The 27,519-nt window shown below is 52.1% G+C and overlaps 1 protein-coding gene across 2 annotated transcripts in view, besides 2 other annotated features; it reads right to left on the bottom strand.

Moving 5' to 3' along the window:
- SRRM3 (serine/arginine repetitive matrix 3) overlaps positions 1-20,367 on the bottom strand; it is an 85,392-nt gene extending 65,025 nt beyond the window's left edge. For both annotated transcript variants that reach the window (NM_001291831.2, NM_001110199.3), the window contains exon 1: positions 20,196-20,367. The gene's annotated coding sequence lies outside the window, so the exon portion shown is untranslated. The remainder of the gene's footprint in view (positions 1-20,195) is intronic.
- Positions 20,281-20,520: a silencer, noted in NCBI's record as "silent region_18306". NCBI's record gives its function as "represses an Ori minimal core promoter by ATAC-STARR-seq in GM12878 lymphoblastoid cells {active_cell/tissue: GM12878}" and the evidence as "EXISTENCE:reporter gene assay evidence [ECO:0000049][PMID:35858748]".
- Positions 24,269-25,066: an enhancer, noted in NCBI's record as "H3K4me1 hESC enhancer chr7:75826515-75827312 (GRCh37/hg19 assembly coordinates)". NCBI's record gives its function as "activates a minimal SCP1, AML or CMV promoter by ChIP-STARR-seq in primed H9 embryonic stem cells {active_cell/tissue: H9 hESC(primed)}" and the evidence as "EXISTENCE:reporter gene assay evidence [ECO:0000049][PMID:30033119]".

The following is a 27,519-nucleotide window of genomic DNA, read 5'->3' as shown; positions in this document are numbered from 1 at the left end:
AGCTAGTTTTTAGAAGTTTTGTAGAGACAGGGTCTCACTAGTTTGTCTCTAACTCCTGGACTCAAGCAACCCTCCTGCCTTGGCCTCCCAAAGCTCTGGGATTGCAGGTGTGAGCCACTGTGCTCAACTCTCTCTTGCAACCTGATGCCCTCAGGCCCTTAAAGGATAACTGATAACCCAGTCCACATGAACCAAGACAGACCCGTGCCGATCAGCCAGTAGCAGATGGGTTCAAATCACTTACTATGTGTGCGTAGTGACTTAACCTCTTTCTTATCTGTAAAATGGGGTTAATATAAGTACCCGCACCTCAGGGTAAGGAGTAAAGGAATAACGTGTGTACAGTGCCTGGGTAGGCGATAAGCTCTATGCATTAAGTGTTAGCTGTTATCAGCCATGAACTATGCCAATCAGTCTAAACCATTACAGGCATGAGTTAGACCAGGAGGAAATATAGATCCATATAAATCAGAACAGATCAGGTCAATAATTACCATTTTAAATCATTACAAACACTCATAGCCCAATCATGGTACTTTTCACAGATACAAACCCACACAGACCAGTAGAGACCAGTAGAGACGGGTAAGAAGAGGGCAGGTGCGGGGCGCGGTGGCTCACGCCTGTAATCCCAGCACTTTGGGGGGCCGAGGCGGGTGGATCACAAGGTCAGGAAATCGAGACCATTCTGGCTAATACGGTGAAACCCCGTCTCTACTAAAAATATGAAAAATTAGCTGGGCGTGGTGGTGGGCGCCTGTAGTCCCAGCTAGTAGGGAGGCTGAGGCAGGAGAATGGTGTGAACCTGGGAGGCAGAGCTTGCAGTGAGCTGAGATCATGCCACTGCACTCCAGCCTGGGCGACAGAGCGAGACTCCGTCTCAAAAAAAAAAAAAAAAAAAAAGAGGAGGGCAGGCCCAGTGGCTCAAACCTGTAATCCCAGCAATTTGGGAGGCTGAGGCGGGTGGATCACCTGAGGTCAGGAGTTCGAGACCAGCCTGGCCAACATGGCAAAACTCTTTTACTAAAAATACAAAAATTAACTGGGTGTGGTGGCGGGCACCTGTGAACCCAGCTACTTGGGAGGCTGAGGCAGGAGAATCGCTTGTACCCAGGAGGCGGAGGTTGCGGTGAACTGAGATTGCGCCACTGCACTCCAGCCTGGGCAACAAAGTGAGACCTTGTCTGGAAAAAAAAAAAAAAAAAAGACGGGTAAGAAGACACTGCAGGGAGAGGCCTGGGAGGAGGTGGCTCAGGGAGCGGGCAGAGCCCAGTGAGCTTCCTCCATGACTCCTTGGAGTCTCTCTGGAGAGGCGCTGGTGCTGGCACGGCTGTTTGTTACCCAACCCTCCAGAAGACGCGGTGGGGGGAGGGGAACTGCTGAAAGCCTTGCTTTCAATAATTCAGCAGCTGGAGCTTCCTGCTGCCCCTGCTGGAGCTGGAGGAAAATCTTGGCCAGAGCCCCAAGGCTGGGGCTGGCTGGGGGTGGGAGGGCTGGTTCCTGGAGGGGCAGGCAGCCTGGCTTGCAAGGGTGCGGGCACTGCAGCTCTGTGTTTTGACCATAGCCCTTGTGGTCCCTCTTCTGCCCTCCCCTTTTCAGTCTAGGGCTGGGTCCAGCCATGCCTGGGCAGGACTCGGGCTGACCCTTTCCCTGCCGTCTCAGTCTGTGCTGGGCAATGGAGGTGGCTGGGCTGGCAAAGTTTCCAGGGCCAAGATGGGGTGTCCGGGGCCGGTGAGGCAGAGAGGGCGAGCCTGCAGACCACAGGAGAAAGCCCTGGTGGCTTAGCTGGCAATGTGCCCAGTCCTACGCTATCCCTGTCCAGCTCCACACCACATTCCACTCCACCCAAGAATGCACTGACCCATGCTGTTCCTCATGCCTGGAAGGTTCTTCCTCATCTACCCTTCCTGCAAGACTGCTCAAGCATCACCTCCTCCGTGAAGCCTTCCCTGACTGCCTGGAAGGACTCCCTGGGGGACGTGCCTCTGCTGTCACCCTGTGGCTACTACTCGCAATCTAGCATGACTGTTGCTCCTTGGCTGACTGAGGGCTGTCCAAGGGCAGAGACTGGGCCAATCCACATCTGTATCCCTAGTGCTCAGCACAGGGCTTGGCACAGAGCAGCCACCTGGGACTGTTTGCTGAGACCCCGCCTGTGTTTGCACCGATGGGAGCTCACTACTTATTGTTTTACCACCATCATCTCTGGGAACTACAGAGGGAGAGGTCCTTGGTCACTGCTCTCACTATGCCTAGACTATGTGCATGCTGACATTTGCATGGGCCTCATGGTCATCTACTTTGTAAGCCCTCGAGTCCAGCCTTGTCTTTGTTTGTTTGTTTGTTTGTTTTTGAGACAGTATCTCGCTGTGTTGTCCAGGCTGGAGTGCAGTGGTGTGATCTCGGCTCACTGCAACCTCCACCTCCTGGGTTCCAGCCATTCTCATGCCTTAGCCACCCAAGTAGCTGGGATTACAGGCGTGTGCCACCATGCCTGGCTAATTTTTTGTACTTTTAGTAGAGACGGGGTTTCACTATGTTGGCCAGGCTGGTCTCAAACTCCTGACCTCAAGTGATCCACCCACCTTGGCTTCCCAGAGTGCTGAGATGACAGGTGTGAGCCACCGCACCCGGCCCCAGCCCTGTCTTTGAATAGATAGGAAGGACTTCTCTGGTCAAGGCTCCTGTCTTTGTTGGCTCTGATTTGGGTTCCTGGAGCAAAGATTTGGGTGGCAACCAAGCAGGCTGCCCAGGGCATCCCCTCAGGCTTCTGCTGGGCTGGCTGAGATCAAAGAGAAAGCCGGCTGGGGGCTGGAGCATCACTGACAAGGGACAAGGAGGGACAAGGAGGCCTCCACTGTCTGCTGCCTCCAGAGGAGTCCACAGTACAGGTAATGCAGCCCAGGTGAGAACAGGTAACAATGCTCAGGTGAGATCAGTGCAGATTGATGTAGCCCAGGACAGGTCATACAGAGCCTTGTAAATGGGACAGACCCAGCCAAGCCAGGAGCTCAGACCGACTGATCAACAGAGGACAGTGGGGACACTGCACACCAGCATGACAGACAGCTGGAAGGTATCAGAACAAGCAACACTGGCTACTGAAAGCAATACAGGCCGGGTATGGTGGCTCACGCCTGTAATCCCAACACTTTGGGAGGCTGAGGCAGGTGGATCACTTGAGGCCAGGAGTTCAAGACCAGCCTAGCCAACATGGCCATCTCTACTAAAAATACAAAAATTAGCCAGGCATGGTGGCTGGTGCCTGTAATCCCAGCTACTTGGGAGGCTGAGGCAGGAGAATTGCTTGAACCTGGGAGGCAGAAGTGGCAATGAGCCAAGATCACGCCGCTGCACCCCAGCCTGGGCAACAAGAGCGACACTCTGTCTGAAAAAAACAAAAAACAAACAAACAAAAAGGCCAGGTGTGATGGTGCATGCCTATAGTCCCAGCTACTTGGGAAGCTGAGGCAGGAGAATCTCTTGAACCCGGGAAGCAGAGGTTGTAGTGAGCCGAGATTTCACCACTGCAATCCAGCCTGGGCAACAGAGTGAGACCTTGCCAAAAAAAAAAAAAAAAAAAAAAAAGAAAAGAAAGCAACACAGACGAGTTCAACCTAGTAGACAGATCTGTAGAGGCCAGAACTGATATGAAATAAGCAAGTAGTGGTTTGGTCTCTTCTCCCCTGCATTCTAGAGGAACAAAAGAATCCCTGCCTTACTCAGTCTTCCTGCTCTCTGTCAGGGCCCTCAGTGGCCTTGTGGGAGGCTGAAGCCTTGCCACCAAGAGCAGACAGCTTCCCTGGGGCTGCTGAGCAAGAATGGAGATGGGGGTGGGGTGGAGGGTGGGGAGAATGTTCTACAGAAGCAGCTTCAGCTTAGCCCAAGAAAGAACAGTCTTATGACTGAGCTGTCACCGATGGCAGGTGGCGGTCTCTGTGTCCCGGGAGGGTGCAAATCAGATGGCCTTGGTGGAGATATGGAGGGAGAGCCACCTGTGTGTCAGAAGCCCATGCTCTCTGAGGACCCTCCCAAGCTGGCCTTGAGGACTGACCCTGCAGTGAAATCGGAGAAGCCTGTGTGCTTTACCCAGTTTTCATCACCTCCTTCTCCTTCCCCCAGGATCAGATCCCAACCCCCGCTCCAGGCTCACACCTGGGAGCTAGGCAGAGGAAGGCACGATGGGCTAGAAGTTGTATAACCAGATCCCTTTTCCTTTCTGAGCCTCAGTTTCTCTTATCTGGACCAAGTGTCAGGGGCCTGGATACTGGCAGGGCTTGGGTAGTGTTAGTCTAAACTGCACCATTTTGTAAGCTCCCTGCTATTTTGCAGACCTTAGTCAAAGTGAAACACTTCACAGTGGTTCGGGTCGTGAGAAACATCCTACCTAACCACCTGACCACAAGGTGGACAAAGGCCCGACTGAAGAAACAGCCTTCCTCTTACGATATTCTGCTGGGAGAAAATGCAAGGAGTACCACATTCTGCTGGAACAAGGGCCAGAACTGCCTCATTATTGGGACATCTTATCAATATCCTGCTGGGCAAGCCATACTGCCTAGACCCCTCCTGCCCATACCTATAAATTGTGCCAGCCTGTAAGCAGTGGTGGGCTCTGACATTAGGTTGGTCCCCCACTTCTGAAGGTTTTATGCTGGACGTAAAACCTGCATTTGCGCCCAGGTGTGATGGCTCACGCCTGTAATCCCAGCGTGATTGGGAGGCCGAGGTGGGTGGATCACCTGAGGTCAGCAATTTGAGAACAGCCTGGCCAATATGGGGAAACTCAGTCTCTACTAAAAATACAAAACTTAGCCGGGTGTGGTGGCAGACGCCTGTAATTCCAGCTACTCGGGAAGTTGAGGCAGGAGAATCGCTTGAACTTGGGGGAAGGAGGTTGCAGTGGGCAGAGATTACACCATTGCACTCCAGCCTGGGGGACAAGAGCAAAACTTCATCTCAAAAAACAAAACAAAACAAAAGCTGCATTTGCTTTTGAGCCGTGCTCTTTCTGTGTGTGTGTCTTTCTATAATCCTCGCCTTCCCTTCAAAACCTAACAGGGGGAGCTGGGCTCTGAGTCCCTGGAAGTGCAAGACTAACAAGAATCAAAATTGGATGGTGATGTGTACCCCTACCCTACCCCTACCCAGGCCAGAGCTATCAGCAGGAAGGGTGTGTGCTGGACAGACAGTCCGGCCCCTTCCACCTGCTGAGGAGGGTGACAGGAGAAGCCACAGGCAGCTGCCTCCACTGCCCATACAATCTCATTATGGAACATTCCCTCTATTGACTCAGCTCCAATCAAGCTGGCTGCCTGGGGGGCATCCCCTCAGGTTTCTGCTGGGCCGGCTGAGATCAAAGAGAGAGTCGGGCTGGGGGCTGGAGCATCACTGACTTTCCCATCGATCCAGATGCGCCTCTCGTTGCTAGGCAACAGCCTCCAGTCTCTCCCGGTCTTTCCTCCCCCGAGGGGCTGCAGAATTGGACAGTAAAAGGGGAGAGAGGGAGAGACCCCACATTCACTCTCCATGTCATCCCCTCCCAAGCTAGAAACCTCTGTCACCAACCTGGGAACCTCTCCTCCCCAGAAAGCAATTCCCCTGTCCATGTTGAGAGCCTGACCCTCCCACCAAAATGAACCTCTTCTCTCTCCTCACATTTGTATGCACCTCCAGTGTACTGGAAATCCATTCCTCCTCTGCTCCATGTAAGCATTCTCTCAGGAAGACAGGCCAGGGACTCGCCATTGAAGAAATCAAGGCTCAGAGAAGGAAGGGACCCTCAAGGACTCAGTGGAAAAGTCAAGATAAGACTGCAGGCTCCCTGTCCAGGCTCAGTGGCTCATGCATGTAATCCCAGCACTTTGTGAAGCCAAGGTGGGAAGACTGCTTGAACCCAGTTCAAGACCAGCCTGGGGGCAGGCACGGTGGCTCACGCCTGTAATCCCAGCACTTTGGGAGGCCGAGGTGGGAAGACTGCTTGCACCCAGGAGTTCAAGACCAGCATGGGGGCAGGCATGGTGGCTCATGCCTGTAATCCCAACACTTTGGGAGGTCGAGGCTGGGGGATCACCTGAGGTCAGAAGTTCACGACCAGCCTGGCCAACATGGTGAATCCCCATCTCTACTAAAATGACAAAAAATTAGCCAGATGTGGGCCGGGCGCGGTGGCTCACGCCTGTAATCCCAGCACTTTGGGAGGCCAAGGTGGGCAGATCACGAGGTCAGGAGATCGAGACCATCCTGACTAACACGGTGAAACCCCGTCTCTACTAAAAATACAAAAAAAAAAAAAAAATTAGCTGGGCGTGGTGGTGGGCACCTGTAGTCCCAGCTACTGGGGAGGCTGAGGCAGGAGACTGGCATGAACCCGGGAGGCGGAGCTTGCAGTGAGCCAAGATCGCACCACTGCACTCCAGCCTGGGCGACAGAGTGAGACTCTGTCTCAAAAAAAAAAAAAAAAAAAAAATTAGCCAGGTGTGGTGGCACATGCCTGTTGTTCCAGCCACTCAGGAGGCTGAGACAGGAGAACATTTGAACCTGGGAGGCAGAGGTTGCAGTGAGCTGAGATCATGCCATTGCACTCCAGCCTGGGCGACAAGAGTGAAACTCTGTCTCAAAAAAAAAAAAAAAAAAACCAGACTGGGCAACATAGCAAGACCCTGACTCTACACAAAATAATAATAATAAAAAAATTAGCCAGTGTAGTAGTGCACGCCTGTAGTCCCAGCTACTCGGGAGGCTGAGGTGGGAGGATCATTTGGGCCTAGAAGGTTGAGGCTGTAGTAAGCTATGATTACACTACTGCACTCCATTCTGGGCAACAGAGCCAGACCCTGTCTAAAAAAAAAAAAAAAAAAAAAAAAAACTGCGGGCTCCTAACTCCCAGCCCAGTATTGGACTAAATATGGGAGCCATTTAATCTTCAGAGAATGTCTCTAAAGACAAATGCACACTCCCATTTTTCAGTGGGTTGGCTTTTTTTTTCTCTCTTCCCAAAACGTAGGATGCATTTCATAGTAGTTTTTTTTGTTGTTGTTTCAAGTGCTATAATTTAAAACTGTTAGTTGTGCTTTAAAACAGGCATAAAAATGTACTGTGGGTTTTGGGGGCTGTAATTGACTAAATAATGCAAATCTGATCATTTTATCACAGTTTAATATTTTGCATATTTTATCTACCCTATACTGCTCATCTTTCCTGTTTTTTTTTTTTTTTTTGAGTGAATATATGCACGTCATCCTAGCAGTTGTTATGTGGTGACCTACTTATTTCATGACTTATTTAGAATTTTAAGATCTCTCTCCCTCTGAGGTCTTTACAGCCCTTGGGGATGGAGGAAGGAAAGTCTCCCAGCTGGGCACAGTGGCTCATGTCTGTAATCCCAGAACTTTGAGAGGCTGAGGTAAGAGGATCACTTAAGATCAAGAGTTCTAGACCAGCCTGGGCAACATAACAAGACCCCATCTCTATTTTTTTTTTCTTTTTACAAAAAGGAAAGTTTCTCAGTCTTCCCACTGGTCCCTGCCAAACCTTTCCTTAAACAACTAAGGGAGAGGAAGAGTTGATGTGTTTCCCAAGGTGTGAGGGGCCAGAACTCAGAAGTTGGGGCTCCCTGAGAGGTGCCAGGAGGTGCACAGTCCCTGAGCAGCGGTCCTGGTGGCCTTGGAACTGCCACTGCCTGCCACCTGCACACTCCCAGCTGTTAGCATGGTGACAGCTCCTCCCCGACTCCCCTGCCCGGCACCAGTCACACACTTCAACTCTGAGGAGCACAGCTTTTCAAGGTCCTTGACAAATGGTAACCAATTAATGTCAATTAATCTGATTAGCCTAAATAGTTAATTAAGCAGCTAATTTACAACATCATTGACAACAACCCACGGCTCCTGAGGGATGGTGGGTGGGAGGTAGGAATGGCAGGGGTGCTGAAGGGAGGTCTTCCTTGCCCTGGGAACAGGTGAGCCCCTTAATGTCGGATCGGGAGTGGGAGCTCCTGGTGCAGCAGTGGCCTCTCCAAGTCTCCACTCTGCTCTGCCATCATCCGAGAATCTCCATCAGGGTACCCAGCCCCAGGCCAGGCTCAAAGGGGCTGATTTCTGTGGGACAGGGTGAACCACAGCATGGTGGAGGAGGGAAAAGGCCTCCTGTCTGGGAAACTATTCCACCCTAAAATCCCAGAGAGGGTTGGGCGCAGTGGTTCACGCCTGTAATCCCAACACTTTGGGAGGCTGAGGTGGAAGGATCACTTAGTCCAGGAGTTCAAGACCAGCCTGGGCTACATGGTGAGACCCCCCCATCTCTACTAAAAATTAAGAAAAAAAAATTAGCCAGGCATGGTGACATGCACCTGTAGTCCCAGCTACTTGGGAGGCTGAGGCAGGAGGATCGCTTAAGCCTGGGAGTTCGAGGCTGCAGTGAGCTATGATTGTGCCACTGCATTCCAGCTTGGGTGACAGAGCAAAATCCTGTTAAAAAACAAACAAACAAACAAAAAAACCAAAAACCCAGAGAGGAGCCTCTGCCACCACTTCCCATCCACACCAAGCACCTTAGAGCTCATAACCCCTTTCAAGTCCCCAAGCTACAGAGAAACCCTGAGAGAGAATTCCCATCCTTCAGCCCATCCTACAGATGAGGAAACCGAGTACCTCCTAGATGCCAGGCCCCATGCTTGCACTGACAACCTGCAACAATGAATCCCACGAGGTCCCTGCCCTTAAAGAACAGCCACCCTGGGCCTCACAGTACCTTGGTGCAACCTCTGTGGGTCAACCACTTCTTAGCTGGGCGATGTTATTTACCTCTCCGTGCCTCCATTTCCCCAACTAGGACCGACCTACATCATTGGATGTTGTGAGGACTAAATAAGTTAATACACGCAGCAGTGCCGGCACACAGAAAATACCAAATGAGTTGGAAAGGTAAACCACCAGTGTGAATGGGGTGTAAAGCCGGGCACGGTGGCTCACGCCTGTAATCCTAGCACTGTGGGAGGCTGAGGCGGGTGGATTGCCTGAGGTCAGGAGTTCGAGACCAGCCTGGCCAACATAGTGAAACCCCGTTTCTACTAAAAATTCAAAAAATTAGCTGGGCGTGGTGGCAGTCCCCTGTAATCCCAGCTACTAGGGAGGCTGAGGCAGGAGAATTGCTTGAACCTGAGAGGTGGAGGTTGTAGTGAGCTGAGATCACGCCATTGCACTCCAGCCTGGGCGACAGAGTGAGACTCCGTCTCAAAAAAAAAAAAAAAAAAAAAAAGGAATGGGGTGTAAAGTGGGCCAGGGAAGAAGCAGCACCGGGCCCTCGAGGGCACCCAGATTGGAACAGGACATCACGCAGAAGATGTCTGAGCAGAGCCTGAAGCTCAGGGAGGTAGAGGAAGAGGGAGGAAGGGCATTCCAGGCGAAGGGAACCACATGTGCAAAGTGATGAGGCACCGGTTCTCAACTCTAGTGTGTACGGTCCACCTTGGAACTTTAAAAAATGCAGACCTTGGCCAGGCGCAGTGGCTCACGCCTGTAATCCCTGCACTTTGGGAGGCCAAGGTGGGAGGATCACTTGAGGCCAGGAGTTTGAGAACAACCTGGCCAACATGGCAAAACCCTGTCTCTACTAAAAACACAAAAATTAGCCGGGCATGGTGGCGGGTGCCTGTAATCCCAGCTACTTGGGAGGCTGAGGCAGGAGAATCGCTTGAACCTGGGAGGCGGAGGTTGCAGTGAGCAGAGATTGCACCACTGCACTCCAGCCTGGGCAACAGAGCAACACTCCATCTAAAAAAAAAAAAAAAAAAAAAAAGCAGACCTTGCTGGGTGCAGTGACTCATGCCGGTAATCCCAGCACTTTGGGAGGCCGAGGTGGGAGGATCAGTTGAGGCCAGGAGTTCAAGACTAGCCTGGGCAACATAGCAAAACACTGTCTTTAAAAAAAATACAAAATTAGCAAAATTAGCCAGGCATGGTGGCGTGCACCTGTGGTCCCAGCTACTTGGGAAGATCATCTGAGCTGGGGGAGGTCAAGACTCTAGTAAGCCACGATTGTGCCACTGCACTCCAACCCGAGTAACAGTTTGAGACCCTGTCAAAAAAAAAAAAAAAAAAGCAGACCTCAGCTGGGTGCAGTGGCTCACAGTTGTAATCCCAGCACTTTGGGAGGTCAAGGTGGGAGAATCACTTGAGGCCAGGAGTTCAAGACCAGCCTGGGCAACAGGCTGAGTTTTGTAGAGACTCTGTCTCTACAAAAAACATTTTAAAAAATTATCTGGGCACGGTGGCATGTGCCTGTAGTGCCAGCTACTCAGGAGGCCGAGGCAGGAGCATTGCTTGAGCCTAGAAGGTGGAAGCTGCAGTGAGCCGTGATTGCGCCACTGCACTCCAGCCTGGACAAGAGAGTGAGACCTAGTCTCTAATAATAATAATAATAATAATAATAATAATAATAATAATAGTAGTAATAGTAATAATAATAAAATTCAGGCCCCACACTCAGATTTGGAATCAGTCGTTTTGGGTGGGTCCTGGGAATCTGCTTCTCATGGACTGTTCTAGAAATACTGGGGCAGGTACCTCTGCACCTAGGGACCATGGCTGCAGCGGTTCTGGGTGTCCAGATTGGGCTGAGCCGCAGAGAGGAGAGGAAAGGCCCCAGGCCATATGACCTATGTCCTGAAAACACACCGCAGGCCCCCTGTTGTCTCCATCTGTCCAAATCAAAACCGCTCTTCAGGGTGACCTTCCTGGAACAGCTCTGGCCATGCACTTACCTACTGGGAACATTCCTGGCGTTCTCTGCTGTCTACGGAAAAAAGGCTAGGCTGCCTCACCTGGCAATAATTCCCCCCCCGCCCCCCAACAGTGAGGCCCCTGTCTCCAACCCGGGCTTTCGCTCCTCCGCCCGGACCCTGGCACTCCAGCCATGCTGTTCCCCAAGCACCTGGTGCTCTTACCTCCTCCTCTCTGCTCCTGCCAAAATCACCCTGCCTCCTTGTGCCTCTGCCTGGCAAACCTGCATTCATTCTACGAGCTCCATCTGTGAGGCCGGCTCAAAAGTTAACCAAAGTCAACCAGGTCAGGGAGTCCTTCCCCACACCGGTGTCCCGGTAGCCCTTGGAATGCTGCTACATAACCCCTAGTCCATCTAAAAAACATTCTTGGCTGGGCGCAGTGGCTCACGCCTGTAATCCCAGCACTTTGGGAGGCTGAGGTGGGCAGATTACAAGGTCAGGAGTTCGAGACCAGCCTACCCAATATGTTGAAACCCTGTCTCTACTAAAAATACACACACACAAAAAAAATTAGCCGGGTGTAGTGGCAGGTGCCTGTGGTCCCAGCTACTCGGGAGGCTGAGGCAGGAGAATCGCTTGAACCTGGGAGGCAGAGGTTGCAGTGAGCGGAGATTGCCCCACTGCACTCCAGCCTGGGCAACAGTGTGAGACTCCATCTCAAAAAAAAAAAATTATCCAGGGCTGCTGGGGCTCAAGGACTGTCCTGCTCCTCCCATTTTTTTAGAGACGGGATCTCACTATGTTGCCCAGGCTGGAGTGCAGGGGCTATTTACAGGTGTGATCATAGTGCACTACCCGCCCCCCCAAGACTCCTGGACTCAAGCAATCCTCATGTCCCAGCCTCCCAAGTATCTAGGACCACAGGTGTGTGCCACCGTGCCCAACTCCTGCTTCTCCTCTCTTTACCTAATGCCTAGCACAGGGCTTGGGGATGACAATGTGTTCATGCAGCTTTTAAGTGGGGAAGAGCTACTGCTGTGTGATGAATGAATGAATGAATCAAGGACGATCTCTGCTTTCTGATGTCTGAGGAGCAGGAGAGAGAAGAAGACAGCATTTGAGAGGCAGGGAAGAGAGAGGTTTCTGGGGAGAATGACATATGTGTCAGATAGGGCCTGACAGAGAGGGAAGACAGGACTTCCCCCAGGAAGGACCCACTGAATGTTCCAGCTTTCCTGCCTCCCCAGAAGCCCCCTCTGGGGCCCTGATGAGAGAAGGGGTGGCTTGGAGGTTCTGCCAGTCTTGAAGCCCACTCCTCTAACCTGGGGTGCTCTGTCTGATACCAAGGGCTGTGCCATCAGCTGGAGATTGGTGTAGGGGGCAGGTTGCCCAGCTCCCAGAGGCATGTCTCTGGTATCCTGTACCCCCTTTCAGTGGTACCATCACCTCCTGCCCACATGAATAGGCAGACAGACACCTCCCTGACCTCTCTGCTCTAGGTCTCTTCCTTTCCCTCTCTGCCTCCTACCCTATTGCAGGCAGAGGGGCCTTCCTGAAGTGCAAACCTGAGCATTTGATGGCATTGCTCCAGAGCTTATAATTGTCATTGCTTTCTGAATAAATTTCCAGCTCTTGACTGGGTGCAGCGGCTCATGCCTGTAATCTCAGCACTTTGAGAGCCCGAGATGGGAGGATTGCTTGAGGCCAGGCATTTGAGACCAGCCTGGGCAACATAGCAAAACCCCATCTCTAAAAAAACATTAAAAAATTAGTTGGGTGTGGTGGCACATGCCTGTCGTCCCAGCCACTTGGAAGGCTGAGGCAAGAGAATATCTTGAGCCCAGGAGTTGGAGGCTGCAGTGAGCTATGATCTCACTATTGCACTCCAGCCTAGCAGATGGTGAGACCCTGTATCAAAAAAAAAAAAAAAAAAAATTCCAACTCTTCAAGGCCAACCACTCCCACTGGGCTGCCTATTATCAGCCCTGCCCTCTGTCCTGTCCTATGACCACATTAGGTAACTATCCCTTGAATCCAGCCAGGAGGTTTCATACCTCTGTGCCATTGCCCATGATGCTCTCTGGAGTGCCAATCCTCTGCCCTCTCTGTCTGGCACCTCCCCTGTCATTCTTTGAGGCCCAACTGAAATGTCACCTCTCCCAGAAGCCTCCTCTGATGCTCCATATCACTTTGGACGACTTAGTTCTAGCAGAACCTCAGTGGATCATCAGTTTTCATGACTGCCTTCCTTTCCACTGGTCCAGAAGCTCCTCAAGGTCAGAGGCAGAGTCTGATTCACCTCTGTGTCCTCGGGCCTCGTGCTGTGCCCAGAAAACAGGAGGCCCTCATTAAATGTCGATTGTATAGTCTAACCCCCTCAAAGGGTGACCTCCACCTAGCAGAAGTGCACTGGATTTTACCCTTCCTGGGGTGCTTTTTTGGAGACAGGATCTTGCTCTGTCACCCAGGCTGGAGTATAGTGGTGCAATCATAGCTCGTTGCAGCCTTGACTTTCTGGGCTCAAGTGATCCTCTTGCCTCAGCCTCCTGAGTAGCTGGGTCTACAGGTGCACACCACCATGCTCGGCTAATGTTTTCTTTTTCTTTCTTCCTTCCTTCCTTTCTCCCTCTCTCCCTCCCTCCCTCCCTTCCTCCCTTCCTCCCTTCCTTCCTTTCTTCTTTCTTTTTTCTTTCTTTTTTTTTTCAGGGTCTTCTTGCTCTACACTCACTCAGGCTGGAGTGCAGTGGCGTGATCTCAGCTCACTGCAATTTCCACCTCCCGGATTCAAGTGATTCTCGTGCCTCAGCCTCCTGAGTAGCTGGGATTACAGTCACCCTCCACCAGGCCTGGCTAATTTTTGTATTTTTAGTGGAGATGGGGTTTCTCCATGATGGCCAGGCTGGTCTCGAACTCCTGATTTCAAGTGATCTGCCCACCTCAGCCTCCCAAACTGCTGGGATTACAGGCGTGAGCCACCGTGCCTGGCTTAATTTTTTCTTTTTCTTTCTTTCTTCTTCTTCTTCTTTTTTTTTTTGTAGAGATAGGGTCTTATTATGTTGCCCAGATTGGTCTTCAACTCCTGGGCTCAAGTGATCCTCCCACCTCAGCCTCCCAAAGTTCTGGGATTACAGGCATGAGCCACCATACCTGGCTCCGGGGTGCTTTCCAACCCAGGACCTGAGTCACTTCTAGTATCATCTGGAGGCAAGTATCATTATATCCATTTTACAGAAGAGAAAAAGGGTTGGAGGTTGGAGGCCAGCGGAAATCAGGGCTCAAGAGATTGGGAGCCACCAGATTCCAGTTCTGGGTGCTTTCTTCTGGGGTCTTGTTGGATCCAAGCCCTCACCGCCCCCTAAGCCCACCCCGCCAGGGATATGTGATGCTCTCATGTCCTCCTTCCCTAGCAGTTCTGGCAAATCCTTACCTCAATCCCTGGCAGAGGGGCTTGCCTTACTTTCTGTCTGACCTATCCCAGGCCATAAAGTTATTTTCACCAGGGGAAATCCACACACGCAGACCCCAAAGCTGTGCCACCCAAGAGGGACAGGGCAGGGGCAAGGGAGAGACTCTCTCTGCTGCTCTCAGCTCCACCCATGCCCAGCCTTTATAAGGCCATTAAAAATATGCTTTTGGAAGAATATTTATTTCTTTCTTTACTGAGACAGAGTCCCCCGCTCTGTTGCTCAGGCTGGAGTGCAGTGGTGCGATCTCAGCTCACTGCAGCCTTGAACTCCTGAGCTCAAGCGATCCTCCCACCTCAGCCTCCTGAGTAGCTGGGGCTACATGCGTGCACCACCAAGTCTGGCTAATATTTATTTATTTATTTATTTATTTATTGGTAGAGATGGGGTTTCACTGTTTCCCAGGCTGGTCTCAAACTGCTGGGCTCAAGCGATCCTCCTGCCTTGGCTTCCCAAAGTGCTGGGATTACAGGGTGAGCCACCAAACCTGGCCCTAAAGAGTCTTTAAAGACATCAGAGAATGCTCATGATAGAGTAAAAACAGCAACAGACCTCCTCCAGCAGCATGTTCCTGGTTATTTAACTCTATGTACCTACGGACACATGGAAAAAAGCCTGCAAGGAAATACCATACTGTGTTCAAAGTGGTTGTCTTTGGGTGGTGGAACTACTGATAGTTTCTATTTTCTCCTTGGTTTCTGTATTTCCCAAGACTTGTACAATGAAGATATGCCATTCTCTCTCTCTCTCTCTTTCTCTGTGTTTTCTTCTTTTGAGATGGAGTCCCACTCTGTCGCCCAGGCTGGAGTGTAGTTGTGCAATTATAGTTCACTAGATCCTTGAAGTCCTAGACTCAAGCAGTCCTCCCACCTCAGCCTCCCAAGTAGCTGGGACTACAGGCACGTGCCACCACACATGGCTAATTTTTTATTTTTATTTTTTTTTAGTGAGCCGAGGTCTTGCTATGCCGCCTAGGCTGAAGATACGCCATTCTTACAATCAGAACGATTCTGTACAACTTGCTTTTACCTGTCTCTGTCCTGGGAAGTCCTGGGAAATGGTGGTGGGGAGGGAGTGCTGGACTAGGAGGGGGCTCAGCTGAGGAAGTCGCCTGGACCCTGGGGTCTGAGTAAATGGGTCAGGCCTCCTCACAGCCCTCAGAGGCCCTGGCAGGATGCTAAGGGAGCCGTGGCACCGTCCGTCAGCTTCCGCCGGCACAGCAGCCTCTGCAGTGGGCAGGAGGCCAGGGCGGGGGCGGCAGGAGGCTGAGGCCAGGCTGGCTGCCGAGGAAGCAGCGCTGCAGAAGGACAGGCCAGAGGCTTTAGGCTCTGAAGGAGTCCTTGGGGGGCGAGGACTGCTCTGGAGCCAATGTACACATGGCCCCAGGGGCCTGTCTTCTAGGCTAACAGTCAGTGAGGCAGCCTGAACCCGGCTCACCCACCCAGGCCCTCTGAGAGCCCTATTCTAGATGACATGGGGCCAACAGGGCTGAGCCTCCAGGATGGAGATGTCGCCCTCCTGCGCTCATGACCCAGAAGAGGGCAGAGGGACAGCACCCCAGAGGTATCAGCAGGTGCTAAGCCACAGTGAAGGCCTAGGCTGGGCCAGGCTGGGTCTGTAATTTTTGGTAACAAGCCCTTCCCTGTCATAATCCCCTCTGTTCTCCTGGGCATCCCACTCCTCCTGCTCTCTCTCTCTCTCTCTCCAATCCCTTTCTCCTCTCTGAACCCACTCTCCCTCACTCTGCCCCCCAAACACCTTCCCTTCCCTTCCCCTCATCCGACTCTTCTCCATTCATCAAAAGCTGTTCTTGCATGGATGTGGTGGCTCACGCCACATTCTAGCACTTTTGGAAGCTGAAGCAACATAGTGAGACCCCATCTCTAAAAGAAATAATAATAATTGCTTGGTGTGGTGGTACATGCCTGCAGTCCTAGCTATTCGGGAGGCTGAGGCGGGAGGATCACTAGATTCCAGGAGGTCAAGGCTGCAGTGAGCCGTGATTGTGCCACTGCACTCCAGCCTGAGCAACAGATTGAGCCCCTCTCTCAAAAAAATTTAAAAAATGGGTTTTGACCAGATGACCCCCCACCCACGAAGGCCCTGTCAGTCCCAAGATTTAAACATATCTCTGTCCTATAAATCTGTATGTCAGGAAGCCTGCAGTTCCATCATTAGAGGTTGAAGTCACCTCCAGTGTTTCAAGCTTTGATTTATTGGAGCTGAGATTTCAAATTCACCTGTCCCAAGTCACTTACAGACTTGGGTCTTAATTAAAGGGGGAAAATAGGGCTTAGACAGGCCCAGTGGCCCATCTACAGATCCCAGGACTCTTTGGCTGAACCAAGGTTAGAGTCCTTTCTGGCCCAGAATTTGAGGTGAGCTGCAGGGACACTGAAGATGCCTTCCACACCCTCTCAGGGTTGTTCACCAGAGCCCAGGAGGCCCCCAAGGACCACAGGCATGGGACTAGGGAAGCAACAGAGGTGAGGTGATTGAGGCTTATTCATGGAATTTTGGGGAAAATAGGAGAGTTTGCAGCTGGTGTTGTAAAGAGAGGAGGCATGGCTGGGCGTGGTGGCTTACGCCTGTAATCCTAACACTTGGGGAGGCTGAGGCAGGCGGATCACCTGAGGTCAGGAGATTGAGAGCAGCTTGGCCAACATCACAAAACCCCATCTCTACTAAAAATATAAAAATTAGCCAGGTGTGGTGGCACATGCCTGTAGTCCCAGCTACTTGGGAGGCTGAGGCAGGAGAATCATTTGAACCCAGGAGGCAGAGGTTGCAGTGAGCTGAGATTGCACCACTGCACTCCAGCCTGGGTGACAGAGAGAGACTCTGTCTCAAAAGAAAACAAAACAAAAGAGAGAGAGAGAGAGAGAGAAAGGAGGCAAGCCCTGCAGAGGCGCTGGGTCAGTGTGGAAATGAGTCTAGGCTGAATGGGAGGGACTGCAAGAAATGGAGGTGAATTTCCTTCTCAGTTCCAACACCTTGGCTCAGTGAAGGAGTTGCGGAGGGGAGCGGATCAGAGATGGGGGAGGGTTCAATGAGGAGAGAGGGGATCAAGAGGGGGAACTCACTGAGGGGCAGGAGGCTGAGTGAGGAGAAAGGAGCTGGGAGAAGCGATGTTCAGAGGAGAATAGCTTTCTTTTTATAATTTTTTGTAGAGATGGGGTCTCACTATGTTGCCCAGGCTGGTCTTGAACTCCAGGCCTCAAGGGATCCTCCTGCCTTGGCCTCCCAAAGTGTTAGGATTACAAGTGTGAGCCACTGCACCTGGCATTAAACCCCATCATTTTAGGGTTGGGGACACTGAGGCCAAGAGGTGGGAAGGGACCCCTTCAAGGTCATACAGGGAGCCAGGATCAGAGATAGGGCCAGAAAGAAGGTCCTTGGACTCATGTTCAAGAGTCCTTCAGTTGCCTTCACCATGTGCCACCCACCTCTCCAACACTCACTGGCCTACAGTGCCTGGATTGATTCTCGCCCTGGGGAGCCTGGAGAATCGGGGGCAGAGTGGTGTTGTGGAAGTCATCCTGGGGTCCTGAGGCAGTGGGGTTGGGTTGCACCAAGACCTTGCTCTGTGACTTTGGGAAAGTCCCATCACACCTTCAGGCCTTGTTTTTCTCCTATGTGAAAGGGAGACAGCAGCACCTTTGGGTCCAGGTTATGTGAGGATGAGATGAGATCATGTATACGAAGTTACAGGACCATGGGCAGAGGCTCAGTGTATGTGTAGGAGTGAAGAAAGAGGGGCTGGGCTTCTCTAACCTCCCCATTGGTGCCCCTGGAAGGCTTCTGAGACAGGAAGAGCTATGATTTTGTCCCTGGGGGACAATAAAATATGGGCAGAGGAGGGAGAAAAGTCAGGAAGGGAGGCTGACCCCAGCAGCGCTAGTAGCTGCTCCTGGCCATGGACCATCTCAGGAGGTGAGGGTGAACCACTAAGAAAGGAAGGAGCAGTCACTGGCTGGCAGAGGTCAGCAAGAGGTTGGGAGGCAGAGGAGGTGCAGAACGGGTGCAGCAGTGAGCAGATGGGACTGTCAGACCCAGACCCCCCCTTTGGCAGGTGTGACGGGGTAGAGGCACCCCGCTGGCCGGTTCAAGGCACATTCTACCTCTAAGTATCCCAGTGACCTTGTGGGAGTCACCTCCTTACTGCACTGTATGCCCTCACCCACCTGCCTCAGGCTCCCCACCTGTAAAGCTGGCATCATAAATCAAGACACTGGCATTGAACTGGGCCTTGATACTCAGAGGATGGGACAGGTCATCAGTAACTCTCCTGCCTCCAGGAGGACAGCGCGAGTGGCTTCATGACCTTGGGAAAGTCACTCAAGCTTCATTTCTCAGCTATGAAATAGGGACAATGATGCCTTCCTCATGAAGCTTCTGTGAGGATTAGCTGAGTCAACCGTTGCATTGTGCCCAGCATGGAGCTGGGCATGAGGCTCTCAACCACTGTTCATCTCCTCTGGGAACAGAAAAATGTGCTTCAAATATCACTGAACACTATTCCACATTTATCCAGCTCTTCTTTAAGAAATTCTTACTTGTCTCCTATTTACTAACACTCACCCAGCATTTTATACCGTAAAAGTAGTCTCCCATCTCCTTATCCAGATTATTTCTTTCAACAGCAAAGTAGACATTGCTAACACTACACCTGTTTTACAGATTGAAAACAGACTCAGAAAGGTCAATGGCTTACCTGAGGTCACATAACCTAGATTTGATCCCATGTCTTTCTGACATCAGAGTCCATGACTCCCAACCCACATACCCCTACCTCTTAAAACCCAGTTGACTCTTTAGTCAGTCTTCAAGAATACCTCCTCCACCCCACAGGAGAGTGGGATGGGGCATAAAGTTAAGGAACCAGAAAGCTACTGCTGTGTGGGAACAATTTCCTAGCCAGCTGGGTCCTATTTTTGACTGAGGAAGAAGCTGGCACAAACTGGGGCCATGACCTTAAGATGCTCCCTGGACAGAGGAACTTGTGCACGTCTCTCCGTCAAAGCCCAGCACCTGCCTTTTCTCTTGCCATGGGACAAAAGACCAGCTCAAGCCCCCGATGCTAGGGTGAGTGAGGTCTTAGGACAGCGAGAAGTTATGGCTGGGATAGGGCACAGGCATTGAAGTACCACGTCAGACCTTGGTACAACCTTCCCTTCCTCCCACTAAATCTCTCCCCACAATGGATCTGCTGTCAGGAGTAGGAACTGCAGGAGGCTTCAACACTGTCCAGGCAGGAGCCCTGGGAGGGAGGGGGAGGCGGAGGCAAGGCAGAGGCTGCGTCTTTTCTCAGCTCTCTTCTTTACCAGGAATTCACTCTGGCGCAGGTCTAACTCTGGGCTAGAAACTCTCTCTGGGCGTCCGTGGTTGGGGTGGGGGGTGTGCACAGAGAACCCCCTCCCAAATTCCTAGTAGCTATTTTCTCTTCTGTGTCCTCCATCCTCTTCCCAGTGCAAGAGTAAATGCCATCCTGTGAGACCCAGTTCTCCTTGCCAGCTCCTGCCTCCCTAGGGGCATTTGGGTAGCCGGGAAAGGGGCCAGGCTGTCCCCTGGGCCGGCACCTCCTGCTGGACAGAGGCCCAGCATCCAGGTGGGGGCCTGCTCCCTTCACCAGGGCCAGTGACCAGCATCTCCACAGGGTTACTGCATCGGTCCTCCCTTCCCTGGGGAGCAGGTCCTTCTCCTCAGTGGGACTGCGGTTGGGGGGCCTCCCTGGCACCCTCATGGACTAGGCCATGGTCATTTATGCCCAGGGGAGTCCTGCCCATGACCCCAAAGGTCTCCACTGTCTCCATCCCTCTCAGTGAAATGAATGTTCCTCATCTCTGCTCCCCGGGCGCCTGGCACCCCCGGACAGACGCCCTCGCCGACCTCCCACACTGCCCCTCTGCTCGGGGGAGCCTGCAGACCACGGGGGTGCTGGGGAGGCCCGAGCTTCCACCCAGCCCCAGCCCCTCGGGGATATGCCCCCGCCCCACAGGCGCTCTCACCTCACCGCTGACCGCCGCGATCTACCGGGCGCTGGGGCCAGGCCCTCGGGTCCCGCCGGTCCGGGCTGCCGCCTAGTCTGGGCTGAGTTGGGCAGGGCAGCTCCGCGGCCCCCACGGCCCCGCACCCTCTGCCTCCCCGCGGGTGCTGCCGCCGCTTGCTGAAATGCTGGACAGCGCACCGCCACCGAGGCGCCTCTCTGCTCGCCCGCCAGCCAGAGCGGCCCAGCCCCGCGCCCGCAGCGCCCTCCGCAGGCCTGGAGGAACGCCCGCAGCGGAGGCAACAGCCCGGGCGGCTGGGCCGGGCCGTCTCCCGGCCGGCTCCCCCTCCTCCCCGCCCCCTTCGCCCCCCTCCCCCCCTTCCCCTCGCCCCTCACCTCCCCACACCCCCGCCCCTATCCCCAGCCCCCGGGGACATCTGTTTCCCCCACTTGCGAGAGGAGGCATGTCAGCCCTGGAAGGCGCCTGGGGCAAGGGAGGTTATTAGTTTGGATCTGGGAAATGCAGTCGGTGTGCAGAGGCCTCGCCAGGACACTCTCTTCCCACCCAGTGTTAAAGAAGGCACCAGGGGCTGGGCGCGGTGGCTCACGCCTATAATCCCAGCACTTTGGGAGACTGAGGCGGGAGGATCACTTGAGGCCAGGAATTCGAGACCAGCCTGGCCAACATGGTGAAACCCAGTCTCTACTAAAAATACAAAAATTAGCCAGGCGTGGTCGCAGGCACCTGTAATCCCAACTACTCAGCTACTTGGGAGGCTGAGGCAGGAGAATCGCTTGAATCTGGGAGGCGGAGTTGCAGTGAGCCAAGATCGCACCATTGCACTCCAGACTGGGCGACAAGAGCAAGACTTAGGGTCAAAAATAAAATAAAATAAAATAAAATAAAAGGCACCAGGGAGGTGAGGTGGGAGGATCGCTGGAGCCCAGGAATTTGAGGCTGCAGTGACCTATGGTGGCGCCACTGCACTCCAGCCTGAATGACAGAGGCTGTCATTTTTTGACACCATCTCAAAAATTTAAAAAAAAAAAAAGGAGGGTGTAGTGTGAGAGACATCCTAATGGAGACAGGAGATTTTAAATTATTTTTTTAAATTTTAAAATTTTGGCTGGATGCAGTGGCTCACATCTGTAATCCTAACATTTTAGGAGGCTGAGGTGGGAAATCACTGAGCTCAGGAGTTTGAGACCAGCCAGGCCAACATGAGGAAACCCTGTCTCTATGAAAAATACAAAAATTTGCCAGATGTGGTGGCATGCATGCACCTGTGGTCCCAGCTACTTGGGAGGCTGAAGTGGGAGGAAGGCTTGAGCCTGAGAAGCGAAGGTTGCAGTGAACCAAGATTGCTCCATTGCACTCCATCCTAGGTGACAGAGCCTCAATTTGTCTCAAAAACAAAAACAAAACAAAAAAACAAAAACAACAACAACAAAAAACTTTAAATTTTTGATAGAGATAGGGTTTGATTATGTTGCCTAGGCTGTCCTTGAACTCCTGGACTCAAGCAATCCTCCTGCCTTGGCCTCTCAAAGTATTGGGATTACAGGCATGAGCTGCTACACCAGACCTTTTTTTTTTTTTTTTTTTTTTTTGAGACAGGGTCTCGCTCTGTTGCCCAGGCTGGACTGCAGTGGTGTGATCATATCTTACTGCAACCTCAAACTCCTGGGCTGAAGCCATCCTCCTTCCCTTCCTCAGCTTCTCAGAGTGCTGAGATTACAAGCATGAACCACTGTGCCTGGCCAGGGGGAGAGGATTTTGAGAATGGAAATGCTGAGCCTTTCATGTTGCTGGGTTGGGAGTCTGGGTTCCACAGTTCAAGTCACCATTGGGTTACTCTCTGTGTGACCTTGGTCTGTTCCTCCCACAGCTCCTGGCCCCCTTTCAGTGAGCAGGCTAAGTGAAGGAAATTCAGAGTTAGAGACGTTGGGAGACCAGAGACCTTCCCTAAATAGAGACATTAGAAACCAGGAACATGGAGTCCCCTGTTTCAAGCTCACCATTGGTGTCTCCATGGCTGTGTCAGGAGGCAGGACTGGAAGTGCCACAGCAGCCCTGACTTGAGGGAACAGTGGTGAGGCACATCAGGTGCCTGGGGTGTAGATTTTAGGAAGCATTTGCATGACACCAAGAGGCATCCCTTGGTCTGAGTGTATGTTTGTTGTGAGTCTTTGTATGGGTTTATGTGTGTATGTGCCCCCGTGGGTCTGTGTCTGTGCATCTGTTTTTATTTTTTTGAGATGGAGTTTCACTCTTGTCACCCAGGCTGGAATGCAATGGTGCGATCTCGGCTCACTGCAACCTCCGCTTTCTAGGTTCAAGCATTTCTCCTGCCTCAACCTCCAGGGTAGCTGAGATTACAAGTGCCCGCCACCACTCCTGGCTAATTTTTGTATTTTTTTTTTTTTTTAAGTAGAGACGGGTGTTTCACCGTGTTGGCCAGGCTGGTTTTGAACTCCTGACCTCAGGTGATCCACCCGCCTCAGCCTCTCAAAGTGCTGTGATTACAGGTGTGAGCCACCGCACCTGGCCTGTGCATCTGTTTTTGGATTCATGTCTTTCTGGGGTCTGTGTCTGTGCGTGCCCTCCTGTAACTGTCCCATGGATTCTCCTTGCCTGCTGCCCAGATAGAGCCAATTTATCAAGACAGGGGAATTGCAATATGCAAGGAGTTTAATGCACGTAGAGCCGACTAAATGGGAGACCAGAGTTTTATTATTACTCAAATCAGCCTCTCCAAAAATTCAGAGGCTAGAGTTTTTCAAGGATAGTTTGGTGGGTCGATGGGGGAGGTGACTAGGGAATGGGAGCTGCTGATTGGTTGGGGATGCATTCCTTTTTTTTTTTTTTTTTTGAGATGGAGTTTCATTCTTCTTGCGCAGGCTGGAGTACAATGGTGCGATCTCAGCTCACTGCAGCCTCCACCTCCCAGGTTCAAGCGATTCTCCTGCCTCAGCCTCCCGATAACTGGGATTACAGGCATGTGCCACCACACCCGGCTAATTTTGCATTCTTAGTAGGGACGGGGTTTCTCCATGTTGGTCAGGCTGGTCTCAAACTTTGGTTGGGGATGCATTCCTGTGGATGTGGAAAATGGTCCTCTTGCATTGAGTCCACTTCTGGATAGGGCCACAGAAGAGTAGCTGGTCTGAGTGGAATAATCTGACAGGAATGCAAAAGCCTGGTCAGGCGCGGTAGCTCACGCCTGTAATCCCAGCACTTTGGAGGCCGAGGTGGACGGATCACCTGAGTTCAGAAGTTTGAGACCAGCCTGGCCAACATGGCAAAACCCTGTCTCTACGGCCCTCATTCTTTTTTTTTTTTTTTTTCTTTAGTAGAGACAGGTGTTTCACCATGTTGGCCAGGCTGGTTTCGAACTCCTGACCTCAGGTGATCCGCCTCGCTCCGCCTCCCAAAGTCTTGGGATTACAGGCATGAGCCACCATGCCCGGCCCTCTCTTATAATTTTTGCAAAGGCGGTTTCACTCTTCCCCTCCCCTCTTCCTTTGCCCAGGTTTCCTTACCTACCAGAATCTTTGGAGTGTGTGTGTGTGTTTAAGATCCTTGAACTGCAGGCCCTTGCACTATTTGCAGAACAAAGATCGAGGGTGAGGGAGAGGGGTGGGCTACAGCTGCTGCCACCAGTACTGCAGCTCCACAGCCCCGGGGGGCAAGTCCTCTGCTGATCTCCTGCCTTCTGGCTGCATGAATATTTCATTTGCTGAGACTTTGGGCTGGCCTAGCACCAGTCAGCTTGGTTGCTCCTTCTTCCTGAGAGGAGCTGCCCTCTCTGTGCCTGGCTGGGACTTCCCAGGCAGGTCAAGGTCTGGGAGAAGGCCCTGGGAGTGGGGGGGGTTGGGGCTGGCGGCTGCAGGCCTTTCCTTGACTGAAGAACCATGGCTGGGTGTGTGGAGAGGAGTGGAGGAAACTTACAGGAGGTGTGGAGACGCGGCATCATCTCAGAGTGAAATGCATGCCTTAAATGAAGCTGGCCTTTTTTTTTTTTTTTTTTTTTTTTTTTGAGATGGAGCATTGTTCTGTTGCCCAGGCTGGAGTACAGTGGCACGATCTCGGCTCACTGCAACCTCTACCTCCCGGGTTCAAGCAATTCTCCTAACTTAGCCTCCCGAGTAGCTGGGACTACAGGCGCATGTCACCACGCCCAGCTAATTTTTGTATTTTTAGTAGAGATGGGGTTTTACCATGTTGGCCGGGCTGGTCTCAAACTCCTGGCCTCAGGTGATCCGTCCACTGTGGCCTCCCAAAGTGCTGGGGTTACAGGCGTGAGCCACCGTGCCCAGCCAAAGTTGGCTTTATGAAACTTCACCACATTGCTTTGGTTCCTGACCGACCCTGGCCTCAACTCCGGAATTAGCACCTGGGAACACTGCCCCAGCTGGGCACACCTTCTCTTGCCCTCCCCTGGTCTGTCTCTGCAGTACCTGCCTCCCTGGTTTCGCGATGGGAGCAGCTTCAGGGGAGAAGGGGATTTGGGCCTATAAAAGCTGACTGCAACCAGAGGCGGTGGCTCACACCTGTAATCCCAGCACTTTGGGAGGTCGAAGCAGGCAGATTACTTGAGGCCAGAAATTCGAGACCAGCCTGGCCAACATGGTGAAACCCTGTCTCTACTAAACATACAAAAATTAGCTGGATGTGGTGGCGGGCTCCTGTAGTCCCAGCTACTTGGGAGGCTGAGGTGGGAGGATTGCTTGAACCAGGGAGGCGGAGGTTGCAGTGAGCTGACATCGCGCCACTGCACTTCAGCCTGGTTGACAGCGTGAAACTCTATCTCAGAAAAAAAAAAAAAAAAGGCTGGCTGCAAGCAAACTTCTCCAGCTGCCTGGAACTCTGCATTCTACCAGTCTCGGAATCCCAGGCCACCTCTCCATCCCAATATTCCCCCCTCTCCCTTCGCGCTCCCTTCTCCTGGCTCATAGGGATACACTCTGTCTTGGTTTCCCCACCCAGCCTGCTAATTTCCCCAAAACGCGCTCCTCCCCTTGTGCGACTTGTTTCAAAAAACAGCACCGCCATCTGTGCTGGCTTTTCTCTGTGTGATCCTCTGGCTCCGGCTCTGCCCTGCTCTAGGCCTTGGAGGGAGGCTGGCCTCTGTGGTCCGATTACCCAGGCTCCCTCGCTCTTGGTGTCCGGTTGGGTTCATCTAAGGGGAGGCATCACCAGGAGAAGCCAGATCCAGGAGAAGGGGAGAAGAGATAAGTTAGGGATTTATTCCCCTACTGAGTTCCTCTCCTGCCCCTCTTCTCCACCTCCTGTTCTTCTGGCCAAGTTCTGGCTTTCAGCCTCCTCCCTACAGCCTAGGAGTGGTAACGGCTTCCCAGTAATTTAAGTCCTCGGCCGCTTCTCTATGTCTTGTTGGTTCATTCTCATATCCTCATCTGCACCTGTGTGCAGGGTCCCTTCATCAAGCTCTCGTCAATGGGACCTTTGTACAGGGATGTCTGTTTCATTCTAGATCCCTGACCCAAGAAACTTCCCTGCCCCAAGTCCGGTCTCTAAGTCAGAGACCTGTGAGTCTGTGGGATTCTCCAGTTCCTCCCTTCGCCCTTTAGACCTTCCATCTCCTGGGACTGTCCCCACTTCTTTTTTTTTTTTTTTTTTTTTTTGAGATGGAGTTTCTTTCTTCCTTTTTTTTTGAGATGGAGTTTCACTCTTTCTCCCAGACTGGAGTGCTGTGGCATGATCTTAGCTCACTGCATCCTCTTCCTCCCGTGTTCAAGCGATTCTCCTGCCTCAGCCTCCTGAGTAGCTGGGACTACAGGTACCCACCACCACGCCCGGCTAATTTTTAATTTTTGCATTTTTAGTAGAGATGGGGTTTCACTATGTTGGCCAGGCTGATCTCGAACTCCTGACCTCAGGTGATCTGCCCGCCTCGGCCTCCCAAAGTGCTGGGATTACAGGCGTGAGCCACCGCGCCCAGCCCTGTCCCCATTTCTGCAGCCTCAGAATGTCTGCCTGGGCCAGGCCTTGATACCAGACCCCTGCCCTGTGTCCTCCCCCTCCCCAGTCACTCTCCCTCTGAACAGGCAATCTCTGCTCAGATGGCACTTGGTCAATGAACCTTTTAAAGACATCTGCATATAAAACAGTGTCTCACCAGCCTGGACAACATAGTGAGTATCCGTTTCTTTAAAAAAAATAAAATAAAAATGAGCTGGGCTTGGTGGTGTACAGCTGTAGTCCAAGCTACTCAGAGGCAGAGGCAGGAGGATCGCTTGATCCAGGAGGTTGAGGCTGCAGTGAGCTGTGATCCTGCCACTGCACTCCAGCCTGGGCGACAAACTGAAACTTTGTCTCTGAAAATAAAAAATAAAATAAATAAAACAGTGTCTCCCTGTCCAGCACTAGTTTCCCCTCTTTCTTTATTTAAAATTGTGGTAGCCTGGCCAACATGGTGAAACCCCGTTTAGCTGGGAGGTATTACTGGAGGGAGAGTCTCAAGCCAGGCACAAAAGGTGGGGAGGATGTGGCTGACTCCATGGGATGAGTGGGATCTGGAATCAGACCCAGGACCTGAGCCAGATTTGCTGCTTTGTAGCCATGTGGACTTGGGAAAGTCTCCTGGAGCCTCAGTTTCTTCATCTGTAAAATGGGGCTAATAACACTTGTCTCTGAGGGTTGCTATGAGTTCTATTGTTAGAAATCTTCTCTGTTGGGCATGGTGGCTCACGCCTGTGATCCCAGCACTTTGGGAAGCTGTGGCTGGTGGATCACCTGAGGTCAAGAGTTCGAGACCAGCCTGGCCAACATGATGAAACCCCATTTCTACTAAAAATACAAAATGTAGCTGGGTCTGGTGGCATGTGCCTGTAATCCCAGCTACTCGGGAGGCTGAGGTAGGAGAATCACTTGAATCTGGGAGGTGGAGGTTGCAGTGAGCTGAGATCGCACCACTGCACTCCAGCCTGGGAGACAGAGGGGGACTTGATCTCAAAAAAAAAAAAAAAAAGAAAGAAAGAAATTTCATGGTTATAGCCTAGAGGGATTTGATGATGCATGTGGTGCCTTTTATCTGGAGAATGACAAAACCTTGGCTGGATATGGGGTCTCACGCCTATAATCCCAGCACTTTGGGAGGCCAAGGCAGGAGGAATGCTTGAAACCAGGAGTTCAAGACCAGCCTGGGAAACATGGCAAAACCCCATCTCTACAAAAAATACAAAAATTAAGGCCGGGCACGGTGGCTCACACCTGTAATCCCAGCACTTTGGGAGGCCAAGGCGGGCGGATCACAAGGTCAGGAGTTCGAGACCAGCCTGACCAACATGGTGAAACCCCATCTCTACTAAAAATACAAAAATTA

This window comes from Homo sapiens, chromosome 7, assembly GCF_000001405.40.
Source record: "Homo sapiens chromosome 7, GRCh38.p14 Primary Assembly".
In the NCBI taxonomy this organism is placed as follows: Eukaryota; Metazoa; Chordata; class Mammalia; order Primates; family Hominidae; genus Homo; species Homo sapiens.
The sequence above is the reverse complement of the archived record's forward strand: the minus strand, read 5'-3'. Positions and strand labels throughout refer to the sequence as shown.